The sequence below is a fragment of the Homo sapiens genome, chromosome 2 (assembly GCF_000001405.40).
Source record: "Homo sapiens chromosome 2, GRCh38.p14 Primary Assembly".
Classification (NCBI taxonomy): domain Eukaryota; kingdom Metazoa; phylum Chordata; class Mammalia; order Primates; family Hominidae; genus Homo; species Homo sapiens.
The window spans coordinates 235324044-235347281 of NC_000002.12; the positions used below are offsets into that span (position 1 = coordinate 235324044).

General features: G+C 45.1%; 1 annotated feature.

Annotated features, from left to right (window-relative positions):
- Positions 954-1856: an enhancer, noted in NCBI's record as "H3K4me1 hESC enhancer chr2:236233641-236234543 (GRCh37/hg19 assembly coordinates)". NCBI's record gives its function as "activates a minimal SCP1, AML or CMV promoter by ChIP-STARR-seq in naive H9 embryonic stem cells {active_cell/tissue: H9 hESC(naive)}" and the evidence as "EXISTENCE:reporter gene assay evidence [ECO:0000049][PMID:30033119]".

Here is a 23238-nt window from a genome sequence, read left to right on the forward strand (position 1 = left end):
TTGCAACTTGAAATGCTTCCCAAGTGATTCTAAGGTTCACCTTGATGGAGAACCCCTATCTGTCACCAGGAGGGCCGCCCCTTCGAATGGAGCCCTCAGTCTTCCAGAACAGCCCCTCATATGGCACATCCTCATATGGCACATCCTCACATGCCATCCTCATATGGCACAGAGGAAGCAATCCACTTTGCCTGCTGTATTCATGCAGAACCACAGACTTCGGGGTTTGATTCTTCTTAGTGTTATGGAACGGCTCCCTCAATTACATTTCCAGGGCTGACGGAAGGCAACTTCACTGCCCCGAGTTCTTTGAGGCTGTCAGTGTCAGCATGGGTATGAAAAGATGGAAAAGATGGATGGTTCCCCATTTCCACAAACGAATTGAAGCAGCTGTTGTCAGACAGAGGTCAGATGAACAGCTATGACATCACCAAGATCCCCACTGACAGCCAGAAATCCCAGTTCCAGGCTGAATGAGCCCTTGCGGGGCCCCAGCACAGGGCTGGAGGTAAATGGACAGCGCCCGAGTTGCAGGAGGCAGGCAGAGCCCCTGCCCTCAAGTAGGCACGCAGGGAGAAAGTTCCCATAGGTCCAGCCCAGGGATCAAAGGCAGGCAGGCGTCTCTGCAAAGGAGGGAGCTGGGGCTGGGGGAGGGTGGACCAGGGAGGCTCCCACGATGACTGCGTGATAAATGGGTGCTTCCTATCTTTCCCTTCCCTGAAGCCGTGGGAGGCCCCTTCTTTCTCAGTAGTTTAAACTAATTGTCAAAATGGGGTAAATTAGGGCCAGTAATGAGATTAATAAATGCCTTTTGCGGGGCAGTAGCTTTGCTTGGAAGCACTCTGGGTGTGAAGTGTTCTCCTACATTTCCTGCTGTTCCTCCATTTTTGACAACAATGGAGTGAAACTGTCCATTTGAAATCGAACAACTTGTTTGTATGTGGACTTTAGGTTCAGAATGATGACTTGTTGTGTTGTTGAGAAAATTCACGTCTTTGTGGTTTGATATTTGTGATTTGATATTTGTGCCGTGGTGTAGCACGTTGAGCGAATGCAAAGTTTTGAGTATGTTAATCGCCCTCTCCCCTCCCTCCCCCAGCCCAGAGGAAACTGTGGCTGGAGCGTGGTGGTCTCTGTTTTGGGGGGTTTGTCCATGCAAGAACCCTTTTACTGACTGGGAGGTCGAGGAGCAGCTCAGCTCTGGCAGCCTCCATGGGGGAGGGGAGTCTTGTTCACTGAATTCCACAGGCTTGGTGTCACCTAAGTCACCTGTGCATGCCTCGACCTGCCTGTTCCTGCCCAGCTGCCCCTGGAGGTACAGAGCACCAGCGGGAGCAGCAGCCCGTGGGGACCAGGAGAGGACGGTCTTTGTCTCCACTTATGGAAAAGGGCCCAAGACCCAGAAAAGCCCAACCCAGCCTGGCAGTTGAGGCTGCCCACTGCCTGCTCCCAGCTGGTCTTAGAACCTCATTTTCTAAGGTTCCCTGTTCCCCCACCATTGCCCCAGCCCCTATCCCGGCAAGAGCAGGCAACCTGAGCTTGGGGTACCGTGCATGCTCTTGTTTCTTTGAGGGCCCTTTCTCCTTCTTCCTTTCTCATTCAAATGCTACCTATGTCCAAGGATTCCATGTCGCTTGGCTTCCCCAAAGCCTTTCCTGCCTCCACGTGGTCTCTTTTCTGCTCTTTCATAGCATTTGCATTAGGGTACATGGAGTGGGTTGAGTGTTATCCCCCAAAATTCATGCCCACATGGATCCTCAGAATGTGACCTTATTTGGAAATAGGGTCTTTGTAGTTGTGATTAGTTAAGAAATCAGTGATAATGAAGTCATACTGGATTAGGGTGGGGTCAAAACCCAGTGACTGGGGTTATAAGAGAGAACTCACCGAGACACACACAGGTAATAAGGCCACTTGAAGACAGAGGCAGACAGCATCACTAATGATCAGGGAAATGCAAATCAAAACCACAATGCGACGTCACCTCACTCCTGCATGAAAGGCCATAATCAAAAAGTCAAAAAATGATAGATGTTGCCGTGGATGTGGTGTACAGGGAACACTTACATGGCTGGTGGGAATGTAAACTAGTACAGCCGCTGTGGAAAACAGTGTGGAGATTCCTTAAAGAACTGAAAGTATAATAGAACTGCCATTTGATCCAACAATCCCACTACCGGGTATCTACCCAGAGGAAAAGAGGTCATTATACGAAAAAGATACTTGCACACGCATGTTTACAGCAGCACAGTTTGCAATTGCAAAAATATGGAGCCAGTCCAAGTGCTTATCAATCAATGAGTGGATAAAGAATTGTGATTTTTATATGTGTGTGGGTATATGTGTATATATATGTGTATACATACACACATACCCACACACACACACACACACACACACAACATGGAATACTACTTAGCCATAACAAGGAATGAAATAATGGCATTTGTAGCAACCTGGATGGAATTGGAGACCATTATTCTAAGTGAAGTAACTCAGGAATGGAAAACCAAATATCGTATGTTCTCACTCATAACTGGGAGCTAAGCTATGAGGATACAAAGGTATAAGAATGACACAATGGACTTTGGGGATTTGGGGAAAGGGTGGGAGGGGGATGAGGGATAAAAGACTACACATTGGGTAGCGTGTACACCGCTCAGGTGATGGGTGCACCAAGATCTCAGAAATCACCACTAAAGAATTTATTCATGTAACCAAATACTACCTGTTTCTCAAAAACCTATTGAAATAAAAAATAAACAAATAAATATTAACAACAACAACAACAAAGACAGAGGCAGAGACTGGAGTGGTGCATCTACAAACCCAACCAGAAGCTGGAAGAAGCATGAAACAGATTCTCCCTGAAAGCCTCCAGAAGGAACGGCCTCCAGAACAGAAAGGAAATAAACACCCAATGTCTTAAGCCACCCAATCTGCTGTACTTCACTACAGCCCTAGGAAATTAACACAGCACTGATTGCCAGTTTCCCCCTATACATGGTCCACAGTGCCTGATGTGTGGAGCAAAGCAGGGGGCCGTCTATGAACATTTATGAAATGATTGAGAGAAATAATTCATCCAATTACAGCATGTTCCAAAGACCCACAGCAATTAGTGAAGGCAAAGAGCAGGGTTGGTTTTTCCTTGCAAAGGGAGCCTCTGAACTGGTATTCTGAGCCTCCCCAGGCCTCCCCAGGCCTCCACCAGGCTCCCATGCTGTCCCTGTCATTGTTCCGTGCTGTAGGAGGCTCTGTGGAACCAGATAACATGTGTAAAAGCGGCATGGGTTTCTAGAAGGGCTCCAGGGTCTTGCTCCATGACAACAGAATATGGGTCAAGGTCAGGAAGCACCTGTTTTTCCTCTGCCCTAGCCTGGCAAGGGGGTTGTGACCCCACTCAGGACCTGAGGGCTTCTCTCAGGGACCCCTAGATAAAGGGGAGGGCTTCTACCACCCTGGAAAAGGAGGTAAGAAAGCAAGAGAAATTAATTAACCATTTCCCAAACGTGTCTAACATCTAAAAATTTGCCGTGGCCAAAAGCACTGAAAAGCCCATCATTGCTTTTTATTTCAGCGTTGTTTTTAGAGAGGAGAAGTACCATGCAGCACAGAGGCTGACTCCGTCACTCAGGGGACAGGTAGGTGTTAGCATCTTCATGACGTATACGGCACTTCCCTGAGGTATTACAGTCCCCAAGACAGGTGTTGTACGACTTACGACACTGTTCTTGGCACCAGATTCCAGAAGGGCAGCTGCAGAAAAAAAGTGCTCCATAATGTAAAAGTGGACATGTGTGATTACTAGTGGCAGACCTCAAATTCTTTCCCTTCATGAAACCTGCAACCTTCTGAGGTTTAACTGAATCACTGTGACTTCCTCCCTGGTCTGTTTGTTGACGTTTCCCTCTAAGAATGTCAGCACCAGAAAAAGGTCTTAGAGGCCGGGCGCAGTGGCTCACGCCTGTAATCCCAGCACTTTGGGAGGCCAAGGCAGCAGATCACTAGGTCAAGAGATTGAGATCATCCTGGCCAACATGGTGAACTCTACTAAAAATACAAAAATTAGCTAGGCATGCTAGCGCGTGCCTGTAGTCCCAGCTACTTGGGAGGCTAAGGCAGGAGTCGTTTGAACCTGGGAGGCAGAGGTTGCAGTGAGCTGAAATTGTATTACTGCACTCCAGCCTGGTGACAGAGCGAGACTCCATCTCAAAAAAAGAATGAAAAAGATTTTAGATGGCACCTGGTCCAGCCCACACATTTTGCAGTGATTCTGGAATGGCACTCTTTTCTTCCATGGTGAGCTTTTCCTTCCCTTGGGAGAGCTGTGCCTCACACTCAGTCAGGGTTCTCTAGAGGGACAGAACTAATAGGATAAATAATAGAGTCAGGGTTCTCTAGAGGGACAGCACTAATAGGATAGATACATACATAACAGAGAGTTTATTAAGTATTAACTCACACGATCACAAGGTCCCACAATAGGCCATCTGCAAGCTGAGGAGCAAGCAGAGCCAGTCCGAGTCCCAAAACTGAAGAACTTGGAGTCCGATGTTCAAGGGCAGGAAGCATCCAGCACGGGAGAAAGGTGTAGGCTGGGAGGGTGGGAGGGTGGCCAGTCTAGTCTTTTCACATTTTTCTGCTTGCTTTATCTTCTAGCCTCCCTGGCAGCTGATTAAATGATACCCACCCAGATTAAGGGTGGGTCTGTCTTTCCCAGCCCACTGACTCAAATATTAATCTCCTTTGGCAACACCCTGACAGACACACCCAGGATCAATACTCTGCATCCTTCAATCCAATCAAGTTGACAGTCAGCATTAACCATCACACTCAGCAAATCACACCTGTCAGTTACTGTCATCTGTAGTGATAAAACAGAAAGTTCTCCTCATTTGTATGTCTGTGGCAGATTGAAGATGACCACAAATTCTTTGACTCTTCTCCATTGAGAAGGGGATTGAGGAGGGGCTCCATGTCCTCTCCCTTGGTCCCAGGTGGCTCCATGACTTCCTGACCAGGGATTGTGACAGAAGTAGCACTGTCTCATTTCCAGGCTCAGGCCTTCAGAGATGGGCAGCTCCATTTCCTATCTCTTACAACACTTACCACTGGATTCCAGCCACCCAGCTACCAGAAGCCCAAGCCACAGGGAGAGGCCATTTACAGACAGCCTCTGACTTACAATGGTTCAAGTTAACAATATTTCAACATTGCAATAGTGTGAAAGCCATGCCCAGTCAATGGAAACCTTATTTTGAATTTTGACCTTTTCCCAGGCTAGCAATCTGCAGCATGATTCTCTTGTATTGAGCCACAGCTCGCAGTCAGCCATGAGACCACCAGGGTAAACAACCAATGCTCTACAGTGCACTGTGTTACCAGATGATTTTTGCCTAGCTGTAGGCTAATGTAAGCATTCCAAGCACATTTAGGATAGACTAGGCTCAGCTATGATGTTTGGTAGGTTACGTGTAATAAATGCATTTTCCACTTATATTTTCAACTTACAATGGATTTGTTAGGATGTCACTCCGTCATAAGTCAAGGAGCATCTGTAAAGATGCTCACGATCCCAGCTGACAATCAGCATCATCTGCTAGCCGAATGAGTGCACCATTTTGGATGTCCAGTATAATTGAGCCTGTAGCATTAGAGTGATTTGTTATGCAGCACTAGATAACCTGAACAAGGCCAGTTCCCACACCCTCCATCCTAGAATCTCAGAACTCAAAGAAGTCTTAGGGGTTATGTCTTCATTCAACAAATATCTACTGAGCACTTGCTATGACCAAAGAAATGTTCCAGACAGTAAAAATTCAGCACTGAACAGAACAAACAAGATCTCTGTTCTCACAAAATTTATAGTCTAGCGTGGAGTAGAGGGGGAGAGAAAATATAAATGATAGGTGCTATGCAGAGAATTAAAAGAGAGAAATAAATGCAACCTTGAATTATATCAGTTTTTATTTTATTTTCTTTCCTTTTTTTTTTCTTTATGAGACAGGGTCTCACTCTATTTCCCAGGCTGGAGTCCAGTGATACAATCAGAGATTTTTTTATTATTATTATTATTAGTATTGCTACTTTCTAGCTACAACTGCTAGCTTCCATTCTCTTAATATTTATCTGGTGTATCGTTTTCTAGCTCTTAAATTTTAAACGTTTTGGGTGAGCTCATGTTTTATCTTGTGAACAACATATATTTGGATTATGCTTTATTTATTTATTTATTTATTTATTTATTTATTTATTTATTTATTTTGAGATGGAGTCTTGCTCTGTCGCCCAGGCTGGAGTGCAGTGATGCAGTCTGGCTCACTGCAACCTCCACCTCTCAGATTCAAATGATTCTCCTGCCTCAGCCTCCCAAGTAGCTGGGACTGCAGGTGCATGCCACCACACCCAGCTAATTTTTGTATTTTTAGTAGAAACGGGGTTTCACTATGTTGGTCAGGCTGGCCTTGAACTCCTGACCTTGTGATCTGCCCACCTCGGCCTCTCAACATGCTGGAATTACAGGCATGAGCCACAGTGCCCAGCCGGATTATGCATCTTTTAATAGCTGCATTCACACATTCATGTTTGCTCTAATTAGACATATTTTGAACTTGTTTCTTCCTGATTGTTCTCTATTATTTAACCATGTTTTTTATTTTATTCTCAATAATTGAATCTCTTCTACATCATCTTCAAGTTTCTCTCCAAACCTAGCTTCTGCTTAAATATATACAATTTAAGGGCACCAACCTTAGATAGCTAATAGATATTATGTAGGTAAATAATCAAATTCCCCTTAATTTCCACCTAGGGATCTTCATGCTGTATCCCCATAGAACGAGTCCCATCTATTATCTACCTGACAACATTGCAGATATTTGACATGTCCAGCATGTTCCTCCTCTCCTAGGTCTTCTCTCTATAATGCCTTCCATTCCTTCATCACTCTTCCTCCAGGACAGTGTTTCGAGAACTATTACTTCACTTTGCTCTCCCCCCTTTAAAATGTGGTGCTCACATCTGAAGAATTAGCCCCACAGTAATCTGATCTGTCCCAAGAGAAAATGAGATTGTTCCCTCTCTCGTTTTAGACAAAATCCCGTCATTGCCCGAGCTAAGCTGGCATTGACTCCTGGAAGCCAACACACACACAGTGACTCACAGCAAACGCACAGGCAACCAAAGCCTCGGCATCTTCTTCCTGCTGAGAAGCCGCATCTCCTCCATCTTACGTTTCACAGCTGAATCATCTTAACGCAAATACCCAACTGTACAATTATCCCCAATCAGACGTCATCTTTTTACAGTCAGTCCACTGCTCCAGGCTGTCAAGATATTTTTGGATTTTTACCAATATTGTGTTACCCACAGAAGTAAATGTTTTCTTTGTTCAGATTTTCTCTCTACAATTTCCTTGGCTTCAGTCCAATAATTCTTTATATTCCATTTCTTATGTACAAGAACTATAGTCATATCTATAGGCAATTTGTGGAGAGGATGAAAGAGTGAGGTAGAAAGTTGCCCCCAGGCCAGGCACAGTGGCTCACACCTGTAATCCCAGCACTTTAGGAGGCCAAGTCAGGTGGATCACCTGAGGTCAGGAGTTTGAGACTAGCCTGGCCAATATGGCAAAACCCCGTCTCTAGTAAAAATATAAAAATTAGCTGGGCGTGGTGGCATGTGCTTGTAGTCCCAGCTAGTCAGGAGGCTGAGGCGTGAGAATCACTTGAACCCGGGAGACGGAGGTTGCAGTGAGCTGAGATTGCACCACTGCACTCTATCCAGCCTGGGCCACAGAGTGAGACCCTATCTTAAAAAAAAAGAAAGGTGCCCTCAAAGAACTTGCACATGACCCCTCTCTGAGCTCAGTAAAACTGTCACACAGTGCATGTGAATGGTCAACCCCAGGAACAAACCAAGAGGTTGCTAATGTGTGACAGAAAAGTCTGGGGACACTCAGAGACCAACTGAGAAAAATCTCAGGAAGGTAGGATTACATTGTGATTGGCATGTAATAAGCAGAAATCTATGCATTTGTGTCATAGCATGCTTATAGAAAAAAGGAGTTTGTCAGCAATAGCAGTATGGCAAGAAATGCAGGTTCTTAGAACAAAGGTTGTTGGCATCTTAGATTCAATCATGGCATGGGCTGAATTGTGCCCCCCCCCATTTATATGCTAAAGTCCTAACCCCCAGTACCTCAAAATGTGACTGTATTTGGAGATAGGGTCTTTAAAGAGGTAATTAAGATTAAATGAGGCCATTGGGTTGGATCTTAACGCAATATGACTGGTGTCCTTATAAGAAGGGAAGATTAGGACACAGACACGCACCCAGGGGAGACCATGTAAAGTCACAGGGAGAGGACATCATCTGCAAGCCAAGGAGAGAGGACTCAGGAGAAACCAGCCCTGCCAACACCTTGACATTGGACTTCCAGCCTCCAGCATTGTGAGAAAATTAATGTCTGTTGTTTATGCCACCCTGCCCACGGTAGTTTGTTAAGGCCACCCAAGAAAACTAATATAGACCCTACCAACATGTGTGGTAACCCTCCCCTGAGGCCACCTTCCTGAGACCAACAGCTTCCCTTGTGCTGACTCTATGCTCCCAGGAAACCATCTGCCTACGGCATCCCCTGAGGCAGGCACAGGTAGGAGAACACACTTGTTGGGCTGCCCCAAGCATTTATTGTGCAGGCACGTTTCACCCAACTCTTAACAAACCAGCATAAGGTTTGTTAACATATGTGCACATGCATGCAGGTACAGTGGGTGCACCTATGTGTGTCTGCATCCCACAGCCTTCACTACAGGTAGAGACATGCACCAGCCTTGGAGAGACAAGCACATCTGCCTCTAAGGAAACTTCACCCCTAGGTGCATTGGCAAAATTGAGTTTCTGAAGAAGCCAAGTTGAGGGTAAGCCCAGGACATTAGTGAACAAGCCAAAATTCACTTGCCATTTTGTTACCGACCACTGGTTCTTGGGCTCTCAATGCCATAGAATTTGACATGAGGCCAAAAAAGTTTCCCCAGACAGGATTTTATTGGAGCTGACTCCTGGACATAATGAGGGCAGCATGAGAGGGAGAGAGAATTCCCTGACTGACTTTCCAGAAAGAGTCAGTAGGGCTTTTTTATTAGGCAACACTCAGGAATTGACATCAGGAGTAGGGTATGCAGGCTGGCTGGGCAAAGCACGTGAGGGGTAGGGGATGCAGGTCAGCATTATCTGGCTGCCGTGGTTCTCTTGAGCAATGGGCCACCTGGTAGTCTGGCCTGCAGCAACAAGGCTATAAATCGATTGTTTAGCATTCCTTCCCAGGACAGGACACTACCGACCTTGGTTATCTCCTAAGGCCAGTTCCTGGAATTCTTTAAGTAAAAGGCACAGTTAAACATTATGGTGTCCGTGAGATATTGGTGTGGGTTTTGTGAGCAATGGGAATGCTCTACTGGAGGTGAGCTGAAGCCAAGCCCCGTCTCTGTCTCAATGTTATGGGACTATCTAAGTGGCCAGAAGGCGACGTACCAGCAAATCTTTCATCTCATCACCTGTGAACTTGGAATTGCGATAGCACTAATACAACCTAGAAGCTTTGTTTGTTTTTTAAAAGCAGAAACATGTGACAATTTAAGAATTCAGATGAGCCTAAAGAAAGAAAGGAAGGGCTCATGATCTGTGGACTGTGGCTCAGTATCTGGATCTAGACTGAGTCTTGCCTGTGACTGCATGTGATTGGCCCAGCACGAGAATCTCCTAGTGACAAGGCTTCTGGGTGAAAAAAGGGGTCTTATACATTTGGTACTTCCTTGTTTTACACAATGAGCTAGTGGTACAATTGAGATCAGAACCTAGGCGCAACACTTTCTCCACTGGTTTCTCTCGATGTCTGGGTGCTAGCAAGGAAAGTCATGAGACTCGAAAGGTCACAACGAGGAGGTCATGTGATCAGCACAGGGCCTGATCTAAGGGCCTTCAAGGGACATAAGGTAGTCTCTACCGGTTAAAACCTCGAGGTCCCTTCCTGGGCTCCTCCCTCCCTCTGGTCCTTTCTGAACTGATGCTCCAGGAAACGTGGCAAAATGCAAGAATAATCCTAGCGATCTCATTGCCCACCATCCCTGTTTAGACACACCCAAGACCCTCCAAGCGTTTCCACCCCTTCTCCATGGTCTGTAGGGTCCTACATGATCTGGCCCATAGGCAGACACTTTCGCCTCACAGGCCCAGGCATAAGGGCCTCCACTCCCCATGGTCCCCCATTATCATAGAGACTGGCAGGCACAAGGGTCTCTACTCCCCATGGCCCCCCACCACAGAGCCCTGCAGGCATGAGGGCCTCCACTCCTCACAGCCCCCTACCCCACAGCCCTGCAGACACAAGGGTCTCCACTCCACGTGGTCCCCCACCACACAGCCCTGCAGGAATGAAAGCCTCCACTCCCCATGCCCCCGCAACCACACAGCCCTGCAGGAATGAGGGCCTCCCCTCCCCATTGACTCCCCTACCACACAGCCCTGCAGATGGCTTGCTCACCCTCAGCCCAGACTCCTCCTCAAGGCAATTCCTCCTGCTCCCTGCCACCACTTGCCCACAGAAGCCTTCCAGGCATGGTCAGATTCCTCAGTTCCCTGCCGAGGGAGAACCACACTCCTTTCTAGAGCCTGCTCCTGAGTCTGTATTTAAGATGCATCCATGTGACAGGTAAGCGACTGGCTCCCCCCACTAGACAGTGAGACCCGGGACAGATGCAGAGCGGACCCTGCACAAAGTCATCCTTCATCGATATTGACTCAGTGAGACAGTTGCCACAACAGCCCTCACGGTGGGCCCTGGAATAAACAGATCAGAAGCAGCCCTTTCCCACTGACTTTAGACACAGTTTCCTCCGGATGATTTTCTTTTTTCTTCAACAGCTGTGGTTAGAAGCATTGTATCAGTCCTCTAACAAAAGTTAGGACATTCAGAAGCAGGTGTGAGTAACAACAGCATCAATGCTAACAGCCTGATGGTAAGAAAAACAATATTAAAACAAGGAAAAAAAGGGCAAAATTATTATCTTGGTGGCTTAAGATTGTCGTTGGAAACAGCACACAATCATGTCCTCAGGACTCCTGGTGGTGTGAAGATGTTTGTCCCTACACTGAATGCCCAGTGGCTGAGGTTTTTCTCATAAGTCAAATTATTACTCATGTATTCTCACCTTAAAAACAGACAACATAGATATTCTGGAAATATTTCCCCCTGAAATCATGACAATGTTTTGCTGCTTCCATGATCTGGAACAGGAATTGGCAAGCTCTTTCTCTGTGGGCTAAATGAAAACAGCCATAAACAACACTATGTAAATAGACGTGGCCGTGTTCCCAATAAAACTTTATTTACAAAATTGGGAAGTGGGCCAGGTTTGGTCCCTGGTTATCATTTTCTGACCCCCATCTAGACCATTCATACTGAGGAGCTCCTCACTTACTGACAATGTGAGATGAATGAGCAACAAGACGTCTTAGTCTCCGGAACAGACATCATCTCAAGCACTTCGGGTGGTAAAGAGCCATAGCTGTCACCTCATCAACTCCGTCTTGGGCTAGCCCCTTTCCTCTGCACTCTTCAGGAGCTGGGGGTGAGGTTTGACCCCTCTCTACCCTGAACCGTGTCCTCCAGCACTGTCAGACCACGTAGGGTCCTCGTGAACCATTTGGATGAGAATGTGCATGCTGCAAAGTCCGTCCCCTCCCAGAGGAACCCCTAGACCAATGAATGGTATTATTAATGAGTCTCACTGCCTAATGAAGAGCATTGCTCAGCTCTTAATAATACTGCTGATTGAAGCCAAGACCCTAGTCAAACAAAAGAAGCTTGTTTTGTCACTTTTAACTATGGGCATTAGTTTAAAAGAAGGATTCTTTCACAGAATGGTGATATAAAATACTCCTGCGCAAACAAATTCTTCATATTTACTTTTGTGAGTCCTCCAGCTATATTTTTGTCATTTGCCTGGATAAACCCTCCTCCTTCTCCTTTTCTCTCCCTCTCTTTAAACTTCAAGCATCATTGCCAAGCCTAACAAGTGGTTAACACTAGAGTTAATTACCATAAATTAATTGCCATTCTAAATAGTCAGTTCTGGAAATGACTCCAGTGGCCATGAAATTTAGACTTGAGCAAGGCTCATCAAGGCTGTGTTTTACGAGAGGATCAGAGGATCTGAGCCTGGCATCAGCACATGAGCATGGCTGGGCAATGTTCCCCTTTTGTACTCCCTGCTTGAAGATACAGTGAAGTAGTCTGTGCTTTAGCGACAGAGAAAACATTGCAAACAGAGAGAATTGCAAGGAGAAGCCATTTTCTCTTAAAGAACATGAACCAGGCAGTGGCTCACACCTGTAATCCCAGAACTTTGGGAGGCTGAGGCAGGTGGATCATGAGGTCAAGAGATAGAGACCATCCTGGGCAACATGGTGAAACCGCGTCTCTACTAAAAATACAAAAATTAGCCAGGCATGGTGGTGCGTGCCTGTAGTCCCAGCTACTTGGGAGACTGGGGCAGGAGAATCGCTTGAACCCGGGAGGCAGAGGTTGCAGTGAGCTGAGATCGCACCACTGCATTCTAGCCTGGCAACAGAGGGAGACTCCATCTAAAAAACAAAAAGAAAGAAAAGGAAAAAAAAAAAACCCAGAACCATAGCTTTGGAATTCCAGAATAGCTAGGTCAGTGAGTCCTCAAAGGATTCTGATTTCTGGGTAGTTAATTTTGGTCTAGGTTTCCCAGAATATCTATAGCTCCAAGAGGACAAATTTAGAAAATAAAAGTAAAACTATTTTGCAAGATATGGGGACTGGCACGAAGGAGAACAATTTCAGATATTTGTTAATCAGATCTTGTCACAGTGAGGCAATAAAATAGGTCAAGCCAATCAATAGGGTTTAAAAGAAATTAAGCCCTATAAATAATTTAAAAAGGATTATCCTAAGTCCTTTCGTTACTAGGTTCAATTTGCTGTAAATTTTCAAAAATTCAACCCAACCAAGTGGACCTTTCTCTCTTCAGCACAGAGAATCAGAGGGCCTGCAAACCTGAAGCTGTTCTGCCAACCCCATTAGCCCCAGCATTGAAAATCAAAACTACTTCCCCTGGATTACAAATCAAACTTGGGAAGAAATCAAGATTATTTTCAGAAATATTTAGAGGAAAATCCCAAAGAAAGACAAAAATTGAATAGAGAAAAACTATGGTGCTCCTCTTCCACCTGGGCTGCAGAAAGCTAGAAAAAAACCACCACCCCTGCCCTAATGATGAAAGGTAGACAAATTACAAAATCATCACTTTGCTGGACCTATCAGAGATCTGAGGGTATGGGCAACCAAGTATCCTGAAACCCGAAGAAATGAGGGTAGCTCCAATGCAGGACATAAACACCTGCCCGCCTGTGGCGCACAAGAGGAGGAGGTGCTGAGCATCACAGAGGCAGGTAAGAAGAACTCAGCTGCAATTCTAAAAAGTTGCAAATGTTTGAGTGTGGGCTTGCATGAGAATATACAACCTTAGCAGACACAAGGAGGTCTGCACCCAGTTAAAGGCTCTTTTCCACAGAGTTCCAGCAAATATTTACAAGAAAGGTCAGGGGTTGGGGAGGAAATGAAAACGATGGCACAGACCTTGAGAAAGGGAGCAGATGCAGGAAAGACATAAGTCCCACCTGGACCCTACTCCATTAGGAAAAAACCGTCTTAAGCCTCTGGAGGAGGCACAGCAAGGACTATCTTCCATAGAGCACAAGAGAGGACCCACTGGGGCTAGGAGAAGAGTAAAAATAAAAAGCCTCAGTCCCAGGGGTAGGGAATGGGCCCAGGATCCTATACCAATACTATTGAAGACCTCTCCCACAAGAGTCCAGCCAAAGACACAAAGTGTTTGGCCACCATGGGCAGGAGGGACACCATCACTTTGAAAGTTGCAGATTAATGACACTGGCACACAGGCCCACCCAAAGCTGAGGCTTGGCCAGGACAACAGAGAACCCAATAACTCCAATCACCAGGCTACCACGTACCAAGTAACAAGAAACAAGAGTCTACTCCTGCAAGAGGGCCATGAGCATAGAGAAAGACCCTTGTCTGTAACAGAGGCACACAGAGAAGGTCTATAGCTGAATATGGAGCAGGAACATTGAGAAAAACCCTTCAGCACCCCAGACTCCTCCATAAGTAGAAGGTAGGACTAGAAGAATTCAGTGAGGATGGGGGTGCACTGAACATAACCAGACCAACAAGAAAACCCAAACCCAGCTGAACTTCTGACCAGAGTGACTCAACCCCACACTAACAGTATAGGAGAAAAGGTTTGCCCACTCCGGGCATAATACTTTTGCCTCAGTCTCTACTGTTCTATACATGATGTCCAGCAATAACACAAAAATTCTGAGACAGAAAAAAGGAAAAAGAAGCAATCATCTTCTAAGAGACAAGGAAATCAACAAAAGCAGATGCAGAGATGACCCAGATATTGTTATTGTCAGGTGGGAAATGTAAAATGCATATGATTAATAAGTCAAAACTTTCATGTATGAACAGATGGAGACTTTCAATGGAAAAAAAGAAAACTGTAAGAGCCCAAAGAAAATGCAACATTTTTTTTTTAAACCCATGGTGACATAAATGAAGAGTGCCTTTGCCAGACCTATCAGTAGACCTGACATGGCTAAGGAAAGAATCATTGAATTTGAAAACAGATCAAAAGAAGCTACCCAACTGTCACACAAGGAGAAAAAAAAAGTGAGAAAATAAAAAGAGCAGGACACCAAAGAACTGTGGGACAATACCAAGTAGACTTACACACAGATAACTACAATACTAGAAGAAGAAAAGAGAGAAAAGTGGGCAAAAGAGATATTTGAAATGAAAATAGCTGAGAATTTTCCACAAATCATGAAAGACTTTAAACCACAGATCCAGGAATATTAGAGAACTCCAAGAAATTTCACTTCCCTCTCTCATTAATGGAGAGACACACCTAGTCACATCAATGGAGTAATATGGAAAGGTTATGTTGATGCTCAAACTGCTCAATGTATTGACAGAAAATAAGGCTACAAAACATGTATTCCAAAGGTCCACAACCACGCCAGAAATGCCTGAATGGTAAAAAGCCTTTTGATGAGACGTGTGGAAACAACATAAGGGAAAATTCAAGTGTAAAAGACATTATGTGTCAAACCAGTAAGAGCTGGGTCAAAACTCTAGAAAAAGTTCACAACTGTATAAAATGAAATGTTCTTTCATTCAGCAAGTGTATTATATCTTTTCTGTTTCAAAGTTGATAAGCTGTCTTTCTCAATGATTTGTCCATTTTATCTATTCTGTCAAATTCATTATAAAAATCTATACATAGTATCATAATAGTTTATTATCCATTAAACGTAAGAATCTGTAGTGTTTTTCTCCTTTTTCATTCCTAATCTTGATGATTGTGCTTCCTCTCTTTCTTTTCATGCTCAATCTTGCTAGAAGTATATCGATTTATGAATATTGCCAAAAAGTCCAGCATTGGACTTCATCATTTTCTCAACTATACTTCCATCTTCTATTTCATCGATTTCTGACTTTACCTTCATTATTTCCTTCCTTCTTTTCTTTCTTTTGTTTCACGTTCTCTTACTTTTATGTTTTTTGAGATGAAAGCTTAAAATTGATTTTTAAACTCTCTTATTTACTTCTATTTAAAGCTAGAAATATAAAGTCGAAATTTTTGAGATGAAAGCTTAAAAATTTGATTTTTAAACTTTCTTATTTACTTATATTTAAGGCTATAAATTTCTCTAAACCCTTCTTTAGTATTTCTCTCTCTCCTCTCTCTCTCTCTCTCTCTCTCTCTCTCTCCCTACCCCCCACCTTCCCTCAGTTTTCCATACACCAGGCACTGAGCAATCCCAGGAGAATAAAGGAGTAGACAAGGAGCAGCCAGCTGCTTTTGAGTCTGCTCCTGACTCTGTCCATATGATCAGCACACATGGCCTATAAAGTGCCTCTGGTTCCTTCTTACTCTCAGAAATTGTCTCTCTCTGATGTCCTCAGACTTACCAATTGCCCTCAGAGAGGAAAAGGTTTGCTGATCTCAGTTCCTATAGGAATCATTTGTCTCTGAAAATTTATTCCTTTAGACTTCTTTGTAGTCTCTTGGATAGATTTTTTAAATACACTATTTTTTCACTTTTGTAAGTTTTTCTTTCTACTTTTTATGACGAGGTGATCTTCTGCATCCTAATCTTAGGAGGAAACTCTCATTCCACAAACATATGTTGATCGATTATTATGGAGCAGACCCTATTGCTTAGAATACAGTGGTGAATACAAGACATGATCAAAACTCTATACCAGAACCTCAAGATACCACAGCACTGCTTCCAGAAGAGTCAGAAACCATGATTAAGATTTTTTAAAGTAGGGCCGGGCATGGTGGCTCACACCTGTAATCCCACCACTTTGGGAGGCCAAGGCAGGAGGATCACTTGAAGCCAGGAGTTCAAGACCAGCCTGAGCAACATAGCAAGACTCTGTCTCTCAAAAAAAATTTTAAATAAATAAATTAAATTAAAATAAATATAAAAACTGTGATTAAGACCTGCTACTTTCCAGAGCAAGTTTTGATGAATCTAATGAACCTGATTTGTGTTACAAGTGGGTGATTTTTTAACATACATTCAATGCTGTTTTTACTGTTTCTTTCCTAATCCTTTTTTTTTTTTTGAGACAGAGTCCACTCACTCTGTTGCCCAGGCTGGAGTGCAGTGGCGCGATCTTAGCTTACCACAACCTCTGCCTCCCAGGTTCAAGTGATTCTCCTGCCTCAGCCTCCTGAGTAACTGGGATTACAGGTGTGCACCACCATGTCCGGCTAATTTTTGTATTTTTAGTAGAGACGGGGTTTCACCATGTTGGCCAGGCTAGCCTCCAACTTCTGACCTCAAGTGATCTGCCTGCCTCAGCCTCTCAAAGTGCTGGAATTACAGGCGTGTGCCACCTACCTAGGTAATTTGTATATTTTTAGTAGAGATCAGTTTCACTATGTTGGCCAGGCTGGTCTCAAACTCCTGACCTCAAGTGATCTGTCTGCCTCAGCCTCCCAAAGTGCTGGGATTAGAGGTGTGAGCCACCACACCCAGCCTCTTTCCTAATCCCCTATTTTTATGTAACCTTAACTTTGCCACCTATTCGAGTTTGCAAAGCTTTCCACACTTGTTCCTTTTATTTTCCCCTATATCCTCTTTGCCCTTAAAAACCACAATTAAAACCCACCAACTATCTCACTCTTCATAAAATACAGATATCTGTTGAAAATAACAAATATTAAATATGTTAAAATATTAACAATAAACCATATTTCTAGATAGTTTTGCCTGTCTAAACCTATTATTCATTTGGATTTGCATTTTTTTCACTCTCAAATAAAATAGAACAGATCAGCCAACAGTTAATATTTACATCACCGCCACTAAGTAATTGGTAGGACTGCACAAATGCCAGGTGGCAGCATGTTAAATAAAAATCATCAAAGCGGTGCCTACCAGATGCCAAGTGGCCATGTTGGACATACCGACGCAAATGCTTCAACTGCTTCTGTAGAATCAGTTGCATGTTCTGTCATGATCAATTATCCAGGAAAACCTCCCAGGGTAGTGTGACCCAACACCACCTTCATGGCTCCCACTGAGCAGGCAGGAACAGAGTGCTGGATTTGGAATGGCAAATCTAGTTTTCATCGAGGTCTGCCGTGAATGAGCCATATGTCCTGGGCAAGTTACTTCCCCCATTCAGACTCTAATTCCTCATCTGTAAAATGAGGAGGTGGGACTAGTTAAACACTCAGCACCTGCCGTCTGCCACAGCATACATTTTTGGTAATTGCCATTAGTTGTTTTGGAAAGGTACATGTTCATTCTGGGTTAGCTCAAAAGTGAAACAAGGAGAGCTTGCCTTTGGCTTCCCCAGCCTCCCAATCTGGGTTTCAGGAATGCCCCCAACCTCCAACTCAGAACCTGTTTTTTTGTTTTTTTCTTTTTTTCTTTTGTTTTGTTTTCACTCTTTCCCATCAGAACCACTCTTGAAGAAGAAAGAGAGGGAACCGCTGAGTAGTATTAGGACCCGGGCTTGGAAGTCAGAAGTGCTGGGCCTCATCTGTTTCTTCCAGCTTGTGACTCCGGCAAGTCCCATAAACGCTGCACCACTTCACAGGATTTTTAGGAGGATTAAATAAGAAAATGTATCTAGAGTCCACAGAACTTATGTTTGACACTAATAAGGACTCCGCAAACGTTAAATATTGTTATTGTGATTCTTCCTTAGCAAAGATTAATCAAAATGTTAAGATGATAGAATTAAGTTATTTGATAATTCAAATTATTGTTCAGAAAAGGCTCACTCTTCTCCCTTCAAGGGGTGGGTGAAGTGTGCTGTCCTGCCCCATTGAGACTGAGCTTAGCCGTGTGCCTTTGTTTGGTCAATGGGATGTTTGTGGTCATGATGCATGCAGAGGCTTTCCACATGCCCTCATAGCGTGGCTGGTCCTGGAGGCCTCTGATCTCTGCCAGGAGAAGAACACACCCCAGGTAGCCACTACCCTTGCAGTCTGAGAGTCAGAATGCGGATGAACTTGAGCTCAGACTACAAACGGAAGGCAAAAGTCCAGGTTGGCCCAGACGAGTTGCAGTCAACCCATGAGTGTAAGGGTAAATGCTTGTTGCTCTGAGCTGTTGAGTTCTGGGGTAGCTTATTACACAGCATTACTGTGGCAATCACTGACTGATACATGTCACAATGATGATATTGTGAGTAAAAGACTGAAAATAAGGGAAGCCTTTCAGGTGTCAACCATTGGTCCTTGATTTATGTCCATACATCTACTTCCTTTCTGGTCCTCTGTGCTTAGGTTCTCCCCATCCCCCCACCACTTAATCTCTGGAAAAATCTTAATTGATACTCCTCTGCCAGGCCCTGGGAATATATAAATTAAGAGTAAATAATTCAATAAGTTAGGGACTATTATAGAAAAATGCCAGAATGCTGTGACACCAAACAGAAGGGACAGCTGAGCTGGGATATGAGGTCAGCCAAGGCAGCGAAGTATAAACAGAAACTTAATGAGTGGGAGTAACAAAGTCTCACCCCAGAAGCCATGTAACAGGGCACAAGCCTAAAAAAGCACTTTTTAAAAGACGAGTTCCTGCCCCAAGTCCGTCCTTTCCTCCCCTGGTGAGCCAGGTTAAACCTCAGAAAAACCTCAAGATACATTCATGGTTGTCTCCCTCTCCCTGGGGGAGCTGCTTGGAAATACCCACACTGGGACCCAGTTCTGGAAGTGATGTTTGCACATCCGGTCATCTGCTTCTGAAATCAGCTCATGCTCACCCAGTTTGGGAATCACTGAGGAGCTGCCCTCTGCATCCTTCCCGTCGCCTGAGTGCCACCCTCTCCTGGGAGCCTGGAGACTGAGGAAGGCTCCCCAAGAACATCAATCACCCCAGGGAAGAGGCGGGGAGAGGTCAGGGACCCAGGGGCTCTCTCTGCCCTTTCACCCAGTACAAAGCCTTCCTCCCCTGCAAACCAGAGATCCCCTGGGGACCTCAGGGGGCTGGGAGTGGCCCTCTGCTCTTTCCACTGAGAATCGCAGCAGGGGAGGCGGAAGTTTCAGCAGCTGCCCAGATGCCCACATCCACAAGGAACACTTGTATCCAGTGCCCACGCGGAGAGCCTAAAAACAGAGTCCGGACAGAAAGACCAAATTGGGGTGAGGGCGTGGGAAGAGCCTAAACCCGGAAGTTTGATAGCGTGCTGCTTCTGGGCCTTTAAGCCCAGATTTTCAAGGAGAGCATGGATTGCAGCATTTACTCAAGACACATTCCTGGAAACCGACAAGTTCCACTAAATCATTCATGAAGCTGACTGTCCTCGGCTCTGTTCCCACACACGGGGTTACCATCTCTCCCCGCCCCTTCACCCGCCCACACGCTCACACACACACCTGCACGTTCTCGCACAGGCACACTCACACACATCCACACCCACAGGCAAGCTCACACACACACACATGCACACTCATACACAGGCATTCACACACACCAGTGCACTCTCGCCCAGGCACACTCACACCCACACACAGGCACACACATACACACACATGCACACTCACACAGACACAGACACACACACTCTTTTGCACAGGCACACACACACCTGCACACTCACACAGGCACACGCACCTGCACACTCTCACACAGGTATTCTCACACCAGCATGCTCTTGCACAGGCATGCTCACAGGCACCCACACTCACAAAGGCACATTCACATGCACCTGCACGCTAGGACACAGGCATTCTCACACACCTGCACACTCTTGCACAGGCACATTCACACACACCAGCACGCTCTTGCACAGGCATGCTCAGACACACCCACACTCACACAGGCACACTCACACACACTTGCACACTCTCACACAGGCACACACACAGGCACACTCACACACACACCAGCTCTTGCAAGGCACGCTCACACACTCCCTAATACATGCATTCAGTTGCATACACACACATTGCGTACACTCACACAGTCACACGCATTCAGTTGTGTACAGACACACAGCCATGCTCACACGCTGTCATACAGTCACACACACACAGACACACTTACACACATATTCATACTCACATAATCACATGCGTTGACTAGCAGTCACACACACACACAAAGCACCATGCTCGCACACTGTCATACACAGTCACACACATTCACTCGCACGCACACACACACACACAGAACTGCAGAATTCTGAAGAAGATGAAGGTCAAAGTTGCCCCTGAGCTTCAGTAAATAGAACGCCTACTCACACCTCTGTGCCATCAATGTGGATCCTCTGGTAAGGGCTGCCCAGGGCCAACTGTGAGTCCCCCACCCAGGGCAGGCACACAGCTTGTCTGCGGTCGCCTGTGCTCTAGTAGAGAAAGATGGCTCCACTCCACACTGAAATCTAACTCCTGTCAAAGCAGCCTGACTTAAGGGAGAAGTGGAGATGGGGCTGGAAGTGGCTGCTGTGTTCATGTGATGTGAGTATGAGTGTGTGTGTTTGATATATGTGTATGTGGCATGATATGGCATGATATGTGTGTGTGTGGTATGTTGTTTGTGTGCATGCATGTGGTTGTGTTGTGTGTTGTGTGTGATTATGTATGGTGATAGGTGTGGTTATGTATGTGGTTGTGCGTATGTGTGTGGTTATATGTGACTGTGTATATGTGTGATTGTATGTGTAGATATAACATGTATGTGGCATGATGTGTGTGCATGCAGTATGGTGTGTGTGGTATGGTGTTGTGTGTGTGCATGTGATTGTGTATGCATGGCTGTGTTGTGTGTTGTAATGTGTGGTTGTGCATATTATGTGTGTGATGATTGTGTGATATTGTGTTTGGGGTTGTATGTATGTGTTTGTGTGTCTGGTTTTGTTTTATATATGTATGTGGCGTGATGTGTGCATGTGGCATGGTGTGTGCGTGCATATGGTTGTGTTGTCTGTTGTGTGTATATGTGTGATTGTGTGTGTTTAATAGATATGTATGCAGTACGATGTGTATGCATGTGGTATGCTGTGTGTGGTGTGGTGTTGCGTGTGTGCGCATGTGATTGTGTATGCATGGTTATGTTGTGTGTTTTAATGTGTGGTTGTGCATTTTACGGTGTATGTGATTGTGTATGATTGTGTGGGGTTTGTATTTGTGTGTGTATGTGTATGATTATGTGTGTTTAATACATATGCATGTGGCATGATCTGTGTGCATGTGCTATGGTGTATGTAGTATGGTGCTGTGTGTGTGCATGCATGTGGTTGTGTTGTCTGTTGTGGTGTGTGTGATTGTGTGTGTGTTGTGGTGTGTGTGGTTATGTGCATGGTTATGTATGTGGTTGTGCATATGTGTGATTGTGTGTGTTTGATATGTATGTATGTGGTATGATGTGTGTGCATGGGGTATGGTGTATATGGTATGGTGTGGTACTGTGTGTGTGTGTGCATGCACATGATGGTGTGTGTCTGGTTGCACGTGTGTGTACACAGGAAAACAACGACATTCAGATCAACAGTGCCATGACTGAGAAGGAAATTTCTCTCTGAAGCCCCATTTTCAGGTTTTCCCATTTTTTCGAATTTTCTCTCTGACTGTCATTTTCCCAGCTTGGCCTTAACTCAAAGGTGAACTTTTCTCCTGGAAGTAGAAATGATCTAATCAATACACTTCTGAGCAACATCAGCAAATGAAATTTAAGGGCAGATTAAAGTTCAAAATTTCTCATCCATTTCTATGAACACATTAGATTTTGAAATGTCAGAAGAGCTCACTTCCCAACAAGAAGCTCCCTTCCTTTGCAGGAGAGAAACTTCATAGCTGGGCCACGTGAGGCATGCTATGAACATCAGACACTCTCCTCCTACGGAACTTCCTTCATGTCAAATAGCGCCAATCCAGCATAGTGAAGTCACACCAGCTGGCTGCCTCCCTTTTCTGCTGACCAAAGATCTGAGCTTATTAAGCCTTACCTTAGCGTCTCAGTCTGTTCAGGCTGTGATAACAAAATATCACAAACTGGATGGCTTATAAATAACAGAAATTTATTTCTCACAGTTCTGGAGGCTGGGAAGTCCAAGGTCGAGGCACTGGCAGATTTGGTGTCTGGTGAGGGCCAGTTCCTCACAGGCGGTGCCTTCTCGTTCTATCCTTGCTGTGTGCAAGGGACTAATTAGCCCTCATTGGTCTCTAATAATAAAAGCACTAATCCCAGTCATGAGGCTCCACCCTCAGGACCTACTCACTTCCCAAGGCTGCATCTTCTGATACCATCACCTTGGGGGCTAGAATTTCTACATGAGAATTTGGGAACACAAACGTTCAGCAGAGAGGTAACAGCACCAGACTAACACTAGCCCCAGGGGGTGCACCGACCCTGACCCCATCCCTGCATCCTTCTCTCACCTTTGTAAATCGCCCCTCATCAAACTCTCCTCCAATAACCCGACCTGAGTGTCCCATCTGTGTCTCGCCAGGCCCCCCGATGCATCAGGTTGTACAAACACCTCCTCTCTCATTTTCTCCATCTTTAAATTTCCATTTCGTCCAAGCTTCAGGAAACACATGCTATCGAAGCAATTCCTAGGAGCACAGCCACACCTATACCCACTCT